We start from the raw sequence: 14,383 nt of genomic DNA on the forward strand, positions 1-14,383 counted from the left end.
CTTTATATTCTAGGTGTTTTTCTCTGGTACTGGGAATAGAGTTCCAAATTTAAACTCAGCCAGGACAATTGGGATGATAATGTGTGTTTCTATCCTCTCCTTCACTCCCCACTGTTTCTAACAAAAATGTATTAATTTTATATGTTTATGTGTCTGTCTCTTTGAGATTGTGCACACATACTAAAAATACACGTACCTCTGTTCAGCATTTTCTGAACTTTGCTATTAATAATTGTTGATTATCTAAATTTAAAAAATAGTTTACTATATAGTTAAGACAATAACAAAAAATGTATTGCAAATGTAAATATTTCATCTAATATTTTTTCCCCAGTCCACAGTATATGAACTAACATTGTCACTGACACAGATGGCTTCTGGCATGGCATTTATTCTTAACTTTTCTGAATTTCTACATTTCTGACCTACTTAAACTCAGTTAAGTGTTTCTGTGGCTCTAGTGTTGCTTAGCAATAGTTGATTAAATAACTAATGCTCGTGTTCAATTTATAATTTTATGTGTAGATGTTCATCTTTTGAAAGGAGTTAAAAATGTAGATACAGATATATATCCTTGTAAAACCAATATGAATGCCATAGTCATATGGCCCAAGTGTACAAGACATGATTTTTCTTTAAGATTTAACTTTATACTTACTCACTAGATTTTACCCAAGCATTATCTTTCTTTCTTTATTAAATATAAAATGTGTTCTTAAAAACAGGTGAACATACAACTTCAATTAGCCATTTTTAAAAATTCCTTAAATAAAATTTTCAGAAATGCCTAAAATATATTAGTACCTCATATCAGTTTACATGAAATCTCAGCCTATAATTGTTCTTTTTAGTGCAGTCCTCAACTTTAAATGAACTTTAAATAGGTAAATATCCACAAGCATTAGGCTACTTCATTCTCATCTATGCATTTTATTTCATCTAGTAACTCTGTACACACTGTTGAGGCTATTTGAACTTTTGTGCTTTTTCTAAGGCACTTGGAAATTTCTTAAGCAGAAGAGTAACATAGGTGTGTTTTATAAATAAATTTCTGGTGACGTTGTGGAACTAGATTTTAGAGGAAGAGGCTGTAGTCAAAGAGATTGAGTTATGATGCCGTTTAGTAATCTAGATAAGAAATGAAATGTGAACTTTTATCAGTGCAGTTAAGACAAATGAGTTCAAGAGAGAGCTCTGAAATAGACTTTTAACAAGAGTTTACTTCTGATTGAATATTCCTGTAATCAATCAGAAAGGAAAAGGGATAAAGCTTGAGATTGTGCCTTAAATAACTGGTTGTTGGGAATGTCTTTGGCTATTAGTGGACATAGAGGAGGAGTAGGAGATTTGGAAGAAGAGATGAGTTTGGTTTTTATGTTCTGTGTAGTTTTCATCTTATATGGCTGTTTTCCTACTCCTGTCTGACAGATATACCTGGATTTCAGTACATAAGAAGCAAGTAGTAACTATCTCATTGTTCAGTGTGCCAATCCGCTTTTTTTTTTAATTGCCTGAAATATTTACATATTTTGAAATTCACGGTACGGGTTCTTGAAGAGTATATGACAGTAGTTTCCTAGTTGTTTTCACTAGTAATTTAGAGGTGTGAATTAGTTGATTGAAACTAAAGAGAAGCCTTATGAGAAAAGAAACAGGGCAAACTGTGTCTGAACACAAATCTGCACCTGATAACTCCCATTTTCAAGGATATCATACTTTGAAGTTACGAGGGGTGCTTGTTCTCTCATCATTTGCTTGCCCAGACTCCTGCCTTCCAGACCACTAGTTGACTACACTGTAGTATCTTCTAGCTCATCAGTTGGGAAGCATTTCTAGCAAATACCAAAGTATATATCCTGCCGTTACCATAACTCTACTGCATTCCTTTTAGGATATTTTATTCTCCATGTCTTTCTTAAATGTATGCTGTGTTTGCCTGTTTCAGTTCTTAAAAAGTATTCACATGTGAGACTGCTTTTACCTAACATACGTGAAACTTTTATCTTAAATGGATTCATGTTTTATAAACCACATTTTTAAAAGAATTTAAATTTTTAAAGAATTACTTTCAAAAAAATTTTTTAAAAAGCATTTAGAGAGAATTTTAGTCTTAACAGTTCCGAATCCTAGCTGTGCTGCTCAGTTAGCTACTTGGACAAATAACTTTGACTTTCCTTACCTTGGTGGATTCATGTGTATGTTAGGTGCAATGAAAGGAACTACTAGGATTGTTTAAAAATTAGATGGGTTAATACATGCAAAGCACTTAGAAGGGTACCTGACACATATAACTAACTGCTAAATAAGTGTTTATTGCTATTATCTTCATCCTCATCATCACCATCTTTTAAATACAAAGAAATTATCAGCTGATTAAAGTTATTTTTTTAAAACAGCAGAATATTGTGCAATAGGTTATTTTATGATGGTAAAATAATTATTTTTCTTAAAAATTTATAGTTCATAATTTTAAAATATAAACAGATTTCATACATCAAAGATTAAGGCTTTTTTTATTATTATACTTTAAGTTTTAGGATACATGTGCACAACGTGCAGGTTTGTTTCATATGTATACATGTGCCATGTTGGTGTGCTGCACCCATTAACTCGTCATTTAGCATTAGGTATATCTCCTAATGCTATCCCTCCCCCCTCCCCCGACCCCACAACAGTCCCCAGTGTGTGATGTTCCCCTTCCTGTGTCCATCTGTTCTCATTGTTCAATTTCCACCTGTGAGTGAGAACATGCGGTGTTTGGTTTTTCGTCCTTGTGATAGTTTGCTGAGAATGATGGTTTCCAGCTTCATCCATGTCCCTACAAAGGACATGAACTTATCATTTTTTATGGCTGCATAGTATTCACATTTTCTTAATCCAGTCTATCATTGTTGGACATTTGCGTTGGTTCCAAGTCTTTGCTATTGTGAAGAGTGCCACAATAAACATACGTGTGCATGTGTCTTAATAGCAGCATGATTTATAATCCTTTAGGTATATACCCAGTAATGGGATTGCTGGGTCAAATGGTATTTCTAGTTCTAGATCCCTGAGGAATCGCCACACTGACTTCCACAATGGTTGAACTAGTTTACAGTCCCACCAACAGTGTAAAAGTGTTCCTATTTCTCCACATCCTCTCCAGCACCTGTTGTTTCCTGACTTTTTAATGATTGCCATTCTAACTGGTGTGAGATGGTATCTATCTCATTGTGGTTTTGATTTGTATTTCTCTGATGGCCAGTGATGATGAGCACTTTTTCATGTGTTTTTTGGCTGCATAAGTGTCTTCTTTTGAGAAGTGTCTGTTCATATGCTTTGCCTACTTTTTGATGGGGTTGTTTTTTTCTTGTAAATTTGTTTGAGTTCATTGTAGATTCTGGATATTAGCCCTTTGTCAGATGAGTAGGTTGCAAAAATTTTCTCCCGTTCTGTAGGTTGCCTGTTCACTCTGATGGTGGTTTCTTTTGCTGTGCAGAAGCTCTTTAGTTTAATTAGATCCCATTTGTCAATTTTGGCTTTTGTTGCCATTGCTTTTGGTGTTTTAGACATGAAGTCCTTGCCCATGCCTATGTCCTGAATGGTATTGCCTAGGTTTTCTTCTAGGGTTTTTATGGTTTTAGGTCTAACGTTTAAGTCTTTAATGCATCTTGAATTAATTTTAGTATAAGGTGTAAGGAAGGGATCCAGTTTCAGCTTTCTCCATATGGCTAGCCAGTTTTCCCAGCACCATTTATTAAATAGGGAATCCTTTCCCCATTTCTTGTTTTTGTCAGGTTTGTCAAAGATCAGATAGTTGTAGATATGCGGCATTATTTCTGAGGGCTCTGTTCTGTTCCATTGGTCTATATCCCTGTTTTGGTACCAGTACCGTGCCGTTTTGGTTACTGTAGCCTTGTAGTGTAGTTTGAAGTCAGGTAGCGTGATGCCTCCAGCTTTGTTTTTTTTGGCTTAGGATTGTCTTGGCAATGCAGGCTCTTTTTTGGTTCCATATGAACTTTAAAGTAGTTTTTTCCAATTCTGTGAAGAGAGTCATTGGTAGCTTGATGGGGATGGCATTGAATCTATAAATTACCTTGGGCAGTATGGCCATTTTCATGATATTGATTCTTCCTACCCATGAGTATGAGATGTTCTTCCATTTGTTTGTATCCTCTTTTATTTCATTGAGCAGTGGTTTGTAGTTCTCCTTGAAGAGGTCCTTCACATCCCTTGTAAGTTGGATTCCTAGGTGTTTTATTCTCTTTGAAGCAATTGTGAATGGGAGTTCACTCATGATTTGGCTCTCTGTTTGTCTGTTATTGGTGTATAAGGATGCTTGTGATTTTTACACATTGATTTTATATCCTGAGACTTTGCTGAAGTTGCTTATCAGCTTAAGGAGATTTTGGGCTGAGATGATAGGGTTTTCTAGATATACAATCATGTCATGTGCAAACAGGGACAATTTGACTTCCTCTTTTCCTAATTGAATACCCTTTATTTCCTTCTCCTGCCTGATTACCCTGGCCAGAATTTCCAACACTATGTTGAATAGGAGTGGTGAGAGAGGGCATCCCTGTCTTGTGCCAGTTTTCAAAGGGAATGCTTCCAGTTTTTGTCCATTCAGTATGATATTGGCTGTGGGTTTGTCATAGACAGCTCTTACTATTTTGAGATACGTCCCATCAGTACCTAATTTATTGAGAGTTTTTACCATGAAGGGTTGTTGAATTTTGTCAAAGGCTTTTTCTGCACCTATTGAGATAATGATGTGGTTTTTGTCTTTGGTTCTGTTTATATGCTGGATTACGTTTATTGATTTTCATATGTTGAACCAGCCTTGCATCCCAGGGATGAAGCCCACTTGATCATGGTGGATAAGCTTTTTGATGTGTTGCTGGATTCAGTTTGCCAGTATTTTATTGAGGATTTTTGCATCAATGTTCATCAAGGATATTGGTCTAAAATTCTCTTTTTTGGTTGTGTCTCTGCCTGGCTTTCGTATCAGGATGATGCTGGCCTCATAAAATGAGTTAGGGAGGATTCCCTCTTTTTCTGTTGACTGGAATAGTTTCAGAAGGAATGGTACCAGCTCCTCCTTGTAACTCTGGTAGAATTCAGCTGTGAATCCATGTGGTCCTGGACTTTTTTTGGTTGGTAAGCTATTAATTATTGCCTCAATTTCAGAGCCTGTTATTGGTCTATTCAGAGATTCAACTTCTTCCTGGTTTAGTCTTGGGAGAGTGTTATGTGTCAAGGAATTTATCCATTTCTTCTAGATTTTCTAGTTTATTTGCGTAGAGGTGTTTTTAGTTTTCTCTGATGGTAGTTTGTATTTCTGTGGGATTGGTGGTGATATGCCCTTTGTCATTTTTTATTGCGTCTGTTTGATTCTTCTCTCTTTTCTTCTTTATTAGTCTTGCTAGCAGTCTATCAATTCTGTTGATCCTTTCAAAAAACCAGCTCCTGGATTCATTAATTTTTTGAAGGGTTTTTTGTGTCTCTATCTCCTTCAGTTCTGCTCTGATCTTAGTTATTTCTTGTCTTCTGCTAGTTTTTGAATGTGTTTGCTCTTGCTTCTCTAGTGCTTTTAATTGTGATGTTAGGGTGTCAATTTTAGATCTTTCCTGCTTTCTCTTGTGGGCATTTAGTGCTATAAATTTCCTTCTACACACTGCTTTGAATGTGTCCCAGAGATTCTGGTATGTTGTGTCTTTATTCTCATTGGTTTCAAAGAACATCTTTTTTTTCTACCTTCATTTCGTTAGGTACCCAGTAGTCATTCAGGAGCAGGTTGTGCAGTTTCGATGTAGTTGAGCGGTTTTGAGTGAGTTTCTTAATCCTGAGTTCTAGTTTGATTGCACTGTGGTCTGAGAGACAGTTTGTTATAATTTCTGTTCTTTTATATTTGCTGAGGAGTGCTTGCTTTACTTCCAACTGTGTGGTCAATTTTGGAATAGGTGTGGTGTGGTGCTGAAAAGAATGTATATTCTGTTGATTTGGGGTGGAGAGTTCTGTAGATGTCTGTTAGGTCTGCTTGGTGCAGAGCTGAGTTGAGTTCCTGGATATCCTTGTTAACTTTCTGTCTTGTTGATCTGTCTAATGTTGACAGTGGGGTGTTAAAGTCTCCCATTATTATTGTGTGGGAGCCTAAGTCTCTTTGTAGGTCCCTAAGGACTTGCTTTATGAATCTGGGTGCTCCTGTATTGGGTGCATATATATTTAGGATAGTTAGTTCTTGTTGAATTGATCCCTTTACCATTATGTAATGGCCTTCTTTGACTCTTTTGATCTTTGTTGGTTTAAAGTCTGTTTTATCGGAGACTAGGATTGCAACCCCTGCCTTTTTTTTGTTTTCCATTTGCTTGGTAGATCTTCCTCCATCCGTTTGTTTTGAGCCTATGTGTGTCCTTGCATGTGAGATGGGTTTCCTGAATACAGCACACTGATGGGTCTTGCCTCTTTATCCAATTTGCCAGTCTGTGCCTTTTAATTGGAGCATTTAGCCCATTTACATTTAAGGTTAGTAGTGTTATGTGTGAATTTGATCCTGTCATTATGATGTTAGCTGGTTATTTTGCTCATTAGTTGATGCAGTTTCTTCCTAGCCTTGATGGTCTTTACAATTTGGCATGTTTTTGCAGTGGCTGGTACCGGTTGTTCCTTTCCATGTTTAGTGCTTCCTTCAGGAGCTCTTTTAGGGCAGGCCTGGTGGTGACAAAATCTCTCAGCATTTGCTTGTCTGTAAGGTATTTTATTTCTCCTTCACTTATGAAGCTTAGTTTGGCTGGATATGAAATTCTGGGTTGAAAATTCTTTTCTTTAAGAATGTTGGATATTGGCCCCCACTCTCTTCTGGCTTGTAGAGTTTCTGCCAAGAGATCAGCTGTTAGTCTGATGGGCTTCCCTTTTTGGGTAACCCAACCTTTCTCTCTGGCTGCCCTTAACATTTTTTCCTTCATTTCAACTTTGGTGAATCTGACAATTATGTGTCTTGGAGTTGCTCTTCTCGAGGAGTATCTTTGTGGCGTTCTCTGTATTTCCTGAATTTGAATGTTGGCTTGCCTTGCTAGATTTGGTTAGTTCTCCTGGATAATATCCTGCAGTGTTTTCCAACTTGGTTCCATTCTCCCCGTCACTTTCAGGTACACCAGTGAGACGTAGATTTGGTCTTTTCACATAGTCCCATATTTCTTGGAGGCTTTGTTCGTTTCTTTTTATTCTTTTTTCTCTAAACTTCTCTTCACGCTTCATTTCATTCATTTCGTCTTCCATCGCTGATACCCTTTCTTCCAGTTGATCGCATCAGTTACTGAGGCTTGTGCATTCGTCACATAGTTCTCGTGCTGTGGTTTTCAGCTCCATCGGGTCCTTTAAGGACTTCTCTGCATTGGTTATTCTAGTTATCCATTAGTCTAATTTTTTTTCAAAGTTTTTAACTTCTTTGCCATTGGTTTGAACTTCCTCCTTTAGCTCGGAGTAGTTTGATCTTCTGAAGCCTTCCTCTCTCAACTCATCAAAGTCATTCTCCGTCCAGCTTTGTTCCGTTGCTGGTGAGGAGCTGCGTTCCTCTGGAGGAGGAGAGGTGTTCTGATTTGTAGTTTCTGGTTTTTCTGCTCTGTTTTTTCCCCATCTTTGTGGTTTTATCTACCTTTGGTCTTTGATGATGGTGATGTACAGATGGGTTTTTGGTGTGGATGTCCTTTCTGTTTGTTAGTTTTCCTTCTAATAGTCACAACCCTCAGCTGCAGGTCTGTTGGAGTTGACTGGAGGTCCACTCCAGACCCTGTTTGCCTGGGTATCAGCAGCACTGGCTGCAGAACAGCGGATATTGGTGAACCGCAAATGCTGCTGCCTGATCATTCCTCTGGAAGTTTTGTCTCAGAGGAGTACCTGGCCGTGTGAGGTGTCAGTCTGCCCCTACTGGGGGGTGCCTCCCAGTTAGGCTACTTGAGGGTCAGGGACCCACTTGAGGAGGCAGTCTGCCTGTTCTCAGATCTCAAGCTGCGTGCTGGGAGAACCACTACTCTCTTCAAAACTGTCAGACAGGGACATTTAAGTCTGCAGAGGTTATTGCTGTCTTTTGTTTGTCTGTGCCCTGCCCCCAGAGGTGGAGCCTACCGAGGCACGCAGGCCTCCTTGAGCTGTGGTGGGCTTCACCCAGTTCGAGCTTCCCAGCTGCTTTGGTTACCTACTCAAGCCTGGGCAATGGCGGGTGCCCCTCCCCCAGCCTCGCTGTGGCCTTGCAGTTTGATCTCAGACTGCTGTGCTAGCAATGAGCGAGGCTCCATGGGCGTAGGACCCTCCGAGCCAGTTGCGGGATATAATCTCCTGGTGTGCGGTTTGTTAAGCCCGTTGGAAAAGCGCAGTATTAGGGCAGGAGTGACCCGATTTTCCAGGTGCCATCTGTCACCCCTTCCTTTGACTAGGAAAGGGAATTCCTTGACCCCTTGTGTTTTCCAGGTGAGGCGATGCCTCACCCTGCTTCGGCTCAGGCATGGTGTGCTGCACCCACTGTTCTGCACCCACTGTCCGGCACTCCCCAGTGAGATGAACCCGGTACCTCAGTTGGAAGTGCAGAAAACACCCGTCTTCTGCGTCGCTCACGCTGGGAGCTGTAGACTGGACCTGTTCCTATTCGGCCATCTTGGCTCCTCCCAATTTCTCGATTAAGACATTTTTAAAAAGTGAAGATAGTCTCTGTATGTTTAGCTTGTAAAAATTTGTTTTAAATACCTATTTATCAAGGATGATGATCTTGAATAATTTTCTGTTAAATATACTTATCTGTCAGAAACAATACCAATAAAATGTCAATAGAGACATTCGTATTTATATACACACTTATATACGTACACACATAAAACTAACAAAAATAGAAATTTCAATGGAAATTTGGTATTTTCTTCATGATTTCATTATTAATCATCTCTTCTTCAGAAAATATAGTTCAGAAGATTATTTCATAGTTTAGGTAATAACTGGTTCAAAAGATGAAATGTTAATGTACTGCTAGTAATTATCTGTCGGTGAGATTTGGGGACTTTTTGATACATTTCTAAAATGTTTTCATTTTGAAAGATAAAATGGTAATGATAAATGCAATAGTAATCACAGAAGATGGGATTATTCAACAAACAGTGCTTTTTGAAAAACTTACAATTTTGATAAATAGGATTAAGATTAATAGATTAAGGTAAAAGTTATATATCAAGAAGGAATTCTGAAAGCAGAGACAAGGAGTTCAACCTGGTTGAATTAAAGATGTATTTTGAGAACATTTGATAATAAAGTATGAATATTAGAAAGTCATAATATATAAAGTTTATTTGGTATTTACAAAGTGCCAGAAACTACTATCACTGTACAGTTACCTTGCTATACAAATATTTCTCAATTTTCACATGAGTCCTGTGTGATATTTTTATTATCTCATTTTACCATAAGGAAATTTAGGCACAGAAGAGTTAAGTAATTTTCCCAGGATGATATGTGTTACGTAGTGTAGAGGAATGACTTTAAAAGCCTATCAGAAGAATTTCAAGTTGACACAATAAACAAAAGAGAGCCACTATTATTTCCTGAGCATATAGAGTATTTTAGGATATCTTAGGCAAAAGTGTTCAGGATGAATTGATAAGAAGTAGCTTAGGAAACAGTTTCAATAATAAAACAGCCAAATGAGAGATACTTGAGCTGGGGTTTTGGCTCTCGTGGTGATGAGTCTGAAAAACACTTGGGTTAAAATTGTTTAGTTTTAGGGATGGAATGAGAAAAAAGATTGAAGAGGTAGCCAAGGTTTCTGATTTGAGATATTTGGTCATTAACCTTATTTAATTAATTAATTTTTTAAATAGAGACAGGGTCTCACTATGTTGCCCAGGCTGGTCTCAAACTCCTGGCCTCAAGCAATCCTCTTGCTTCAGCCTCTCAAAGTGCTGTGATTACAGATGTGAGCCACCATGCCCTGCCAAATCAATATTTTTTTAAAGTTCTGGTAGTTAAGGAAATGAAGTCTTTAAAGCATTGTGGTATAGTATAAAAGTTTGGCAAAAAATAGCTTAGTTGGTTTTGAATATATTGAATTTGATGTGATGACTGTGTGCAAGTAACATGGAACACAATACGATACTAGGTTTAGTGATGCAAATTTGAGATACAAACCATGTGAATGAGTGAATTTTCCTAGGCAGTAATTATGTGGGATAAGAAAAAAGTGTGTTTTTAAGAGACTGAAAAGATACATTGTTTTAAGTAATGTTAAATTGCTAAGATTGCTAGACATACTTATTATTTCAAAGAGCAGCCCATTCCAATTCAGTGATATGTACACCCTTAAGATTTCTTCACCATCTTTCATCTTTTCCCCTCTTACCCACCATTAACTGCTAGAAATTTATTATTTTAAGGCAGGATGGTTTGAATAACCAAACATTTGTACCTAGATTTTACCTTTGTTCTTCCTTTAACCTAGGTAAGTGGTTTTCAAACTTTACTATATGGGGTCTATAAATAAAACTGTACATTCCGAGTGATTTCAGAGATTTTCAGATTAATTTTGACCTGTGTGTGTGTGTGTGTGTGTGTGTGTGTGTGTGTGTGTGTGTGTGTGTGTGTGTGTGTGTGTGTGTGTTTTGCTTTGTATGTGAACCAGCATCCATTTATTTGTTATCCCATTTTCCAGTAAGGAAATTCAGGCGCAGAATAATTAAGTAATTTTCCCAGGATGATATATATGTTATGTGAAGGAGGGGGAACAACTTTAAAAGCTGGTCTGAAGAATTTCAAGTTGACACAATAAATAAGGTGAAGCCACTGTTACTTCCTGAGCAGATATAGTACTTTAGGTTATATAATGTTAGATGTGGTTCTTTTGAGTTGTCTGAGAGTTTAATGTGATTCTACCACCAGCCTCCTAAAAATAATTTTATTCAGTAAAAATAATCCTTAATATTGAAGCATAATTTGAGTAATTTGCCAGTGAAAATTAACTCTTTATTTCTGCAAGTCTCTCGTGGGGATGCTTTCTTTTCCTATGTTCAAAACATTCTAAAATCATGTAATTCTGAAAATTGTCCCTGTTTTATTTATATAACAACTTTGTGCTACTTTGATGCTTATTCATTAGATGGTGTAATCAGAATGTATGGGCGTTAGAAGCAGATTGAAAGTGCTACATAAATATATTACTAATTAACTACTTTAATAGCAGCAGGATTTAGACTCCAAACTTCATTGATTCAAAGTGGTAGAAGATGATGGAGGATCTCTATTCACTCCCCTACACCCACCATCTTAATTCTAATGGCAAAGTAGACATTTAAAAATTTTACCCTGGGGGCTTTCACAGTGCCTGCCCTACCTCATGAGGTCAGTTCCCAAATTAAAATTTGCTACTTTACTCAGCTGAGAGTTAGTAGTAATAATCTATTGAAGCTTAAGTAGTTTTTAAACCTTTTAATAGTCACCCCTCTTAACCTCCCACTGCCAAAAATAAAAAAAAAAAAACAAAAAAAACTGTACCTGGAATTCAAAGATACAAAGTAGATGTCACCTTGAAAATTTCAAGATTTATTTAATTAATAAGCAAAATTTGAAAAGGAATAAGAACTTTTTATTTCAGAGGTGAATGGTTACTATCAGCATTTACTAACATTCCTTATGAGAACTCAGATATTAAGCATTCCAAACCATAATATGATTAACACAACATGGTAAGTGTTACGTTCACTCGTTATTATACAACTATCAGTATGTAATGAACAACATTGCCCAGGACATTATGCCTAGCATTTAATTGAGCACTCTACAATGTGTTGTGACAGGAAGCAGTTTTACGTGGATGTCTGCACAAACCTGAATTTAAAACCAGACCTGTTTTGAGCTTCAGCTTTATTCATCAGTAAAATATTTACAGTAAGCTCATGTGTTTGGAGATGACAGAGAAAGCTTTGCTACAAGATCTGTCTAAAGGGTTAATCAGGCCACTTGAGTCAATAACACATTAAAGCTCTCTGCACAGCAAATGTGTGTGTCTGTTATTTATGTATGTATGAATGATTTCTTTGTTTTTTTTTATTCCAGTCAAATGTTTATGAAACCTCCAGATTGCCTCGTTAAATCCTTAACCTTGGTGAAATGGTTTGGGAAAATGCAGGTCTGGGCTATAAGTTTAGCTTTTTCTTTAGTCACTACTTTAGATTTCACAGAATAACTGGAAGTGTACATGGTAATTTTATAGATCTTTTTCTTTATGGAATCCTGTATTTCTTGGCATTAGACGTCAACTTCAGATTTTGAGAAGGAATGTATTTGCTAAGAGTAATACAGAAATGCTTGTTATGATATTTCTGTATTAATAACAAGCCATGCTCAAAATGTGGTTTCATCCAGTTTGACCATTAAGCCCTCAGCACTCAGGGACATGACTAAAGGCACTCACATGGAAGAACGGCAGTTCATAACACTGGGAATAAACAAGTGGAACAGCGGGAATCAGGCAGTGTGTTTATTGAGGTACATCTTCAGGCAGTACTGGGATTAGCAATTAGGTATTCATATGAATTCAGTTTGTGAGAGGATTCCATCAATGGCTCTTCAAATTTAAGCAGCAAAGGCCACCACTAACTCCTAAAATATAGTGATCTTTAATACCAGTTTATTTGAATGGGGAAAATTTGCCACACATTTTCTCGTTTTCTTCTTCTTGTAATTTTAGAGCAGCAGGAGCATTTTAAAAGTTATACTCACCAAGCCTGGGCAAGGTGGTGAGACCCTGTCTACATGAAAAATAAAAAAACTAGCCAGGCATGGTGGTGCACACCTGTGGTCCCAGCTACTCAGGAGCCTGAGGCAGGAGGATGGCTTGAGCCCAGGAATTTGAGGCCAGCCTGGGTAACATAGCAAGACCCATGTCTCTTTAAAAAATAAAATTAAAAAGGGTATATCATAAATTCGCGTATGTTAAAACTATTCTCTAATGCAAGATATTTTTCTAAACATTTAGAAATTGAAATGTGGTCCGGCACAGTGGCTCATACCTGTAATCCCAGCAGTTTAGGGGGCTGAGGCAAAAGGATTGCTTGAAGGAAGGAGTTTGAGACCACCCTGGACAAGTGTAGTGAGACCTCGTCTCTACAAAAATAATAATAATAATAATAATAACAACAACTAGCCAGGTGTGGTAATGAGGACCTGTAGTCCTGTCTACTCAGGAGGCAAGATCTTTGAGCCCAGGAGTTTGAAGCTGCAGTGAGCCAGGAGCTTGCTATTGTACTCCGGACTGGGAGTCTACCTCTTAAAAAAAAAAAAAATTTTTGAAGTGGTATTTTTTGCAAATATATTTTGTGTTATGTATATTTAAACACTCAGTTTGTTTAATATGTTAGAATTTGCATAAAATGAAGTAGATTCTCTAAAAATTCATTTGACTTAGAATTACTGGGTGTTGGTAAAATTTATCTTTATATAGAGAAATTAATTTCTGTTCTGTATATGACTTTAGATACACATACATCAGCATATGGCGTCAACTCCTATTTTCTGACATATATATCTAAGATGTGTTAGGAGTAAAGGAAATAGCATTCTAAAAGCAGTTATATGTCTGTACTTTCTTCCTTTGCTTAAACATGTGAATGGTTGTATTTACGTGTAATTTGTGTATATGTATATGTTGTCATATAAATACATGGTAAATGGTTCCAATTTCTTTCACTAATGAAAATTAGTGTTGCATGATACTTCTCTGGTTTTGGGGTTACTTGTAAATAAGTCTACGTATATAACATGTCTCGTGGATTTTGCATGCTACACTAATCTCTGTTAAATCTATCCCCTCTTTATTCAGAGCATGCTGTCAAGGTCCTTTAATTCCAATTTTACTACTGTAAGCAGTTTTCACTGTGGCAGCTCTAGGGATCTGCATGGCAGCCAGGGCAGTCTTGCCTTGAGTGTTGCAGACAGAAGAGGTTCTGGTGGGCACATTTTTCGAGTGAGTACCTACACTAGACCAATACTTTTAGCTTGTAGAAGAGAAAACCCCAAATTTTAAGTGTTTTAATGTTTCCAGGAAAAAAAATGTTTACTCTGGGTTAGAAACCTTGATTTCCTCTGAGTTCTTCCATGGCTTAGTTCTAAATCTTTCTTCAGAGCTGATAAATTCATTATCTCCTGAGTTTCTTTGGTCATAAACTAATGATGTAGTCAGCCCTTGTTTATGCAAAAAAGTGAACAATAGGAATAACTGAGAGATCTTCAAAAACTATTCTTTGTAGTATGTTTTCTCTTAATATTAAACTTTTCTATTCCTAAGGATTTTAAGGCTATGCTATATGTAATCCATAGACCTGTTACAGGGAGGAATAATTTTAACTCCAGTGACTGAGAATTGACTGAGAGA

General features: G+C 37.1%; 1 protein-coding gene across 18 annotated transcripts in view; it reads left to right on the plus strand.

The window, feature by feature from the left end:
* Positions 1-14,383, plus strand: part of ERBIN (erbb2 interacting protein) — a 155,972-nt gene that overhangs the window by 128,471 nt on the left and 13,118 nt on the right. For 6 of the 18 annotated variants that reach the window (XM_047417376.1, XM_047417378.1, XM_047417377.1 and 3 more), the window contains one exon: positions 13,832-13,975. The exons of 11 other annotated variants lie outside the window; for them this stretch is intronic. In XM_047417376.1, coding sequence (XP_047273332.1) covers positions 13,832-13,975 — 144 coding nt within the window. Of the gene's footprint in view, positions 1-13; positions 12,009-13,831; positions 13,976-14,383 lie in introns of those variants that run through there. One more of the 18 variants, XM_047417386.1, reaches the window with a different exon arrangement.

The sequence above is a fragment of the Homo sapiens genome, chromosome 5 (assembly GCF_000001405.40).
Source record: "Homo sapiens chromosome 5, GRCh38.p14 Primary Assembly".
NCBI lineage: Eukaryota > Metazoa > Chordata > Mammalia > Primates > Hominidae > Homo > Homo sapiens.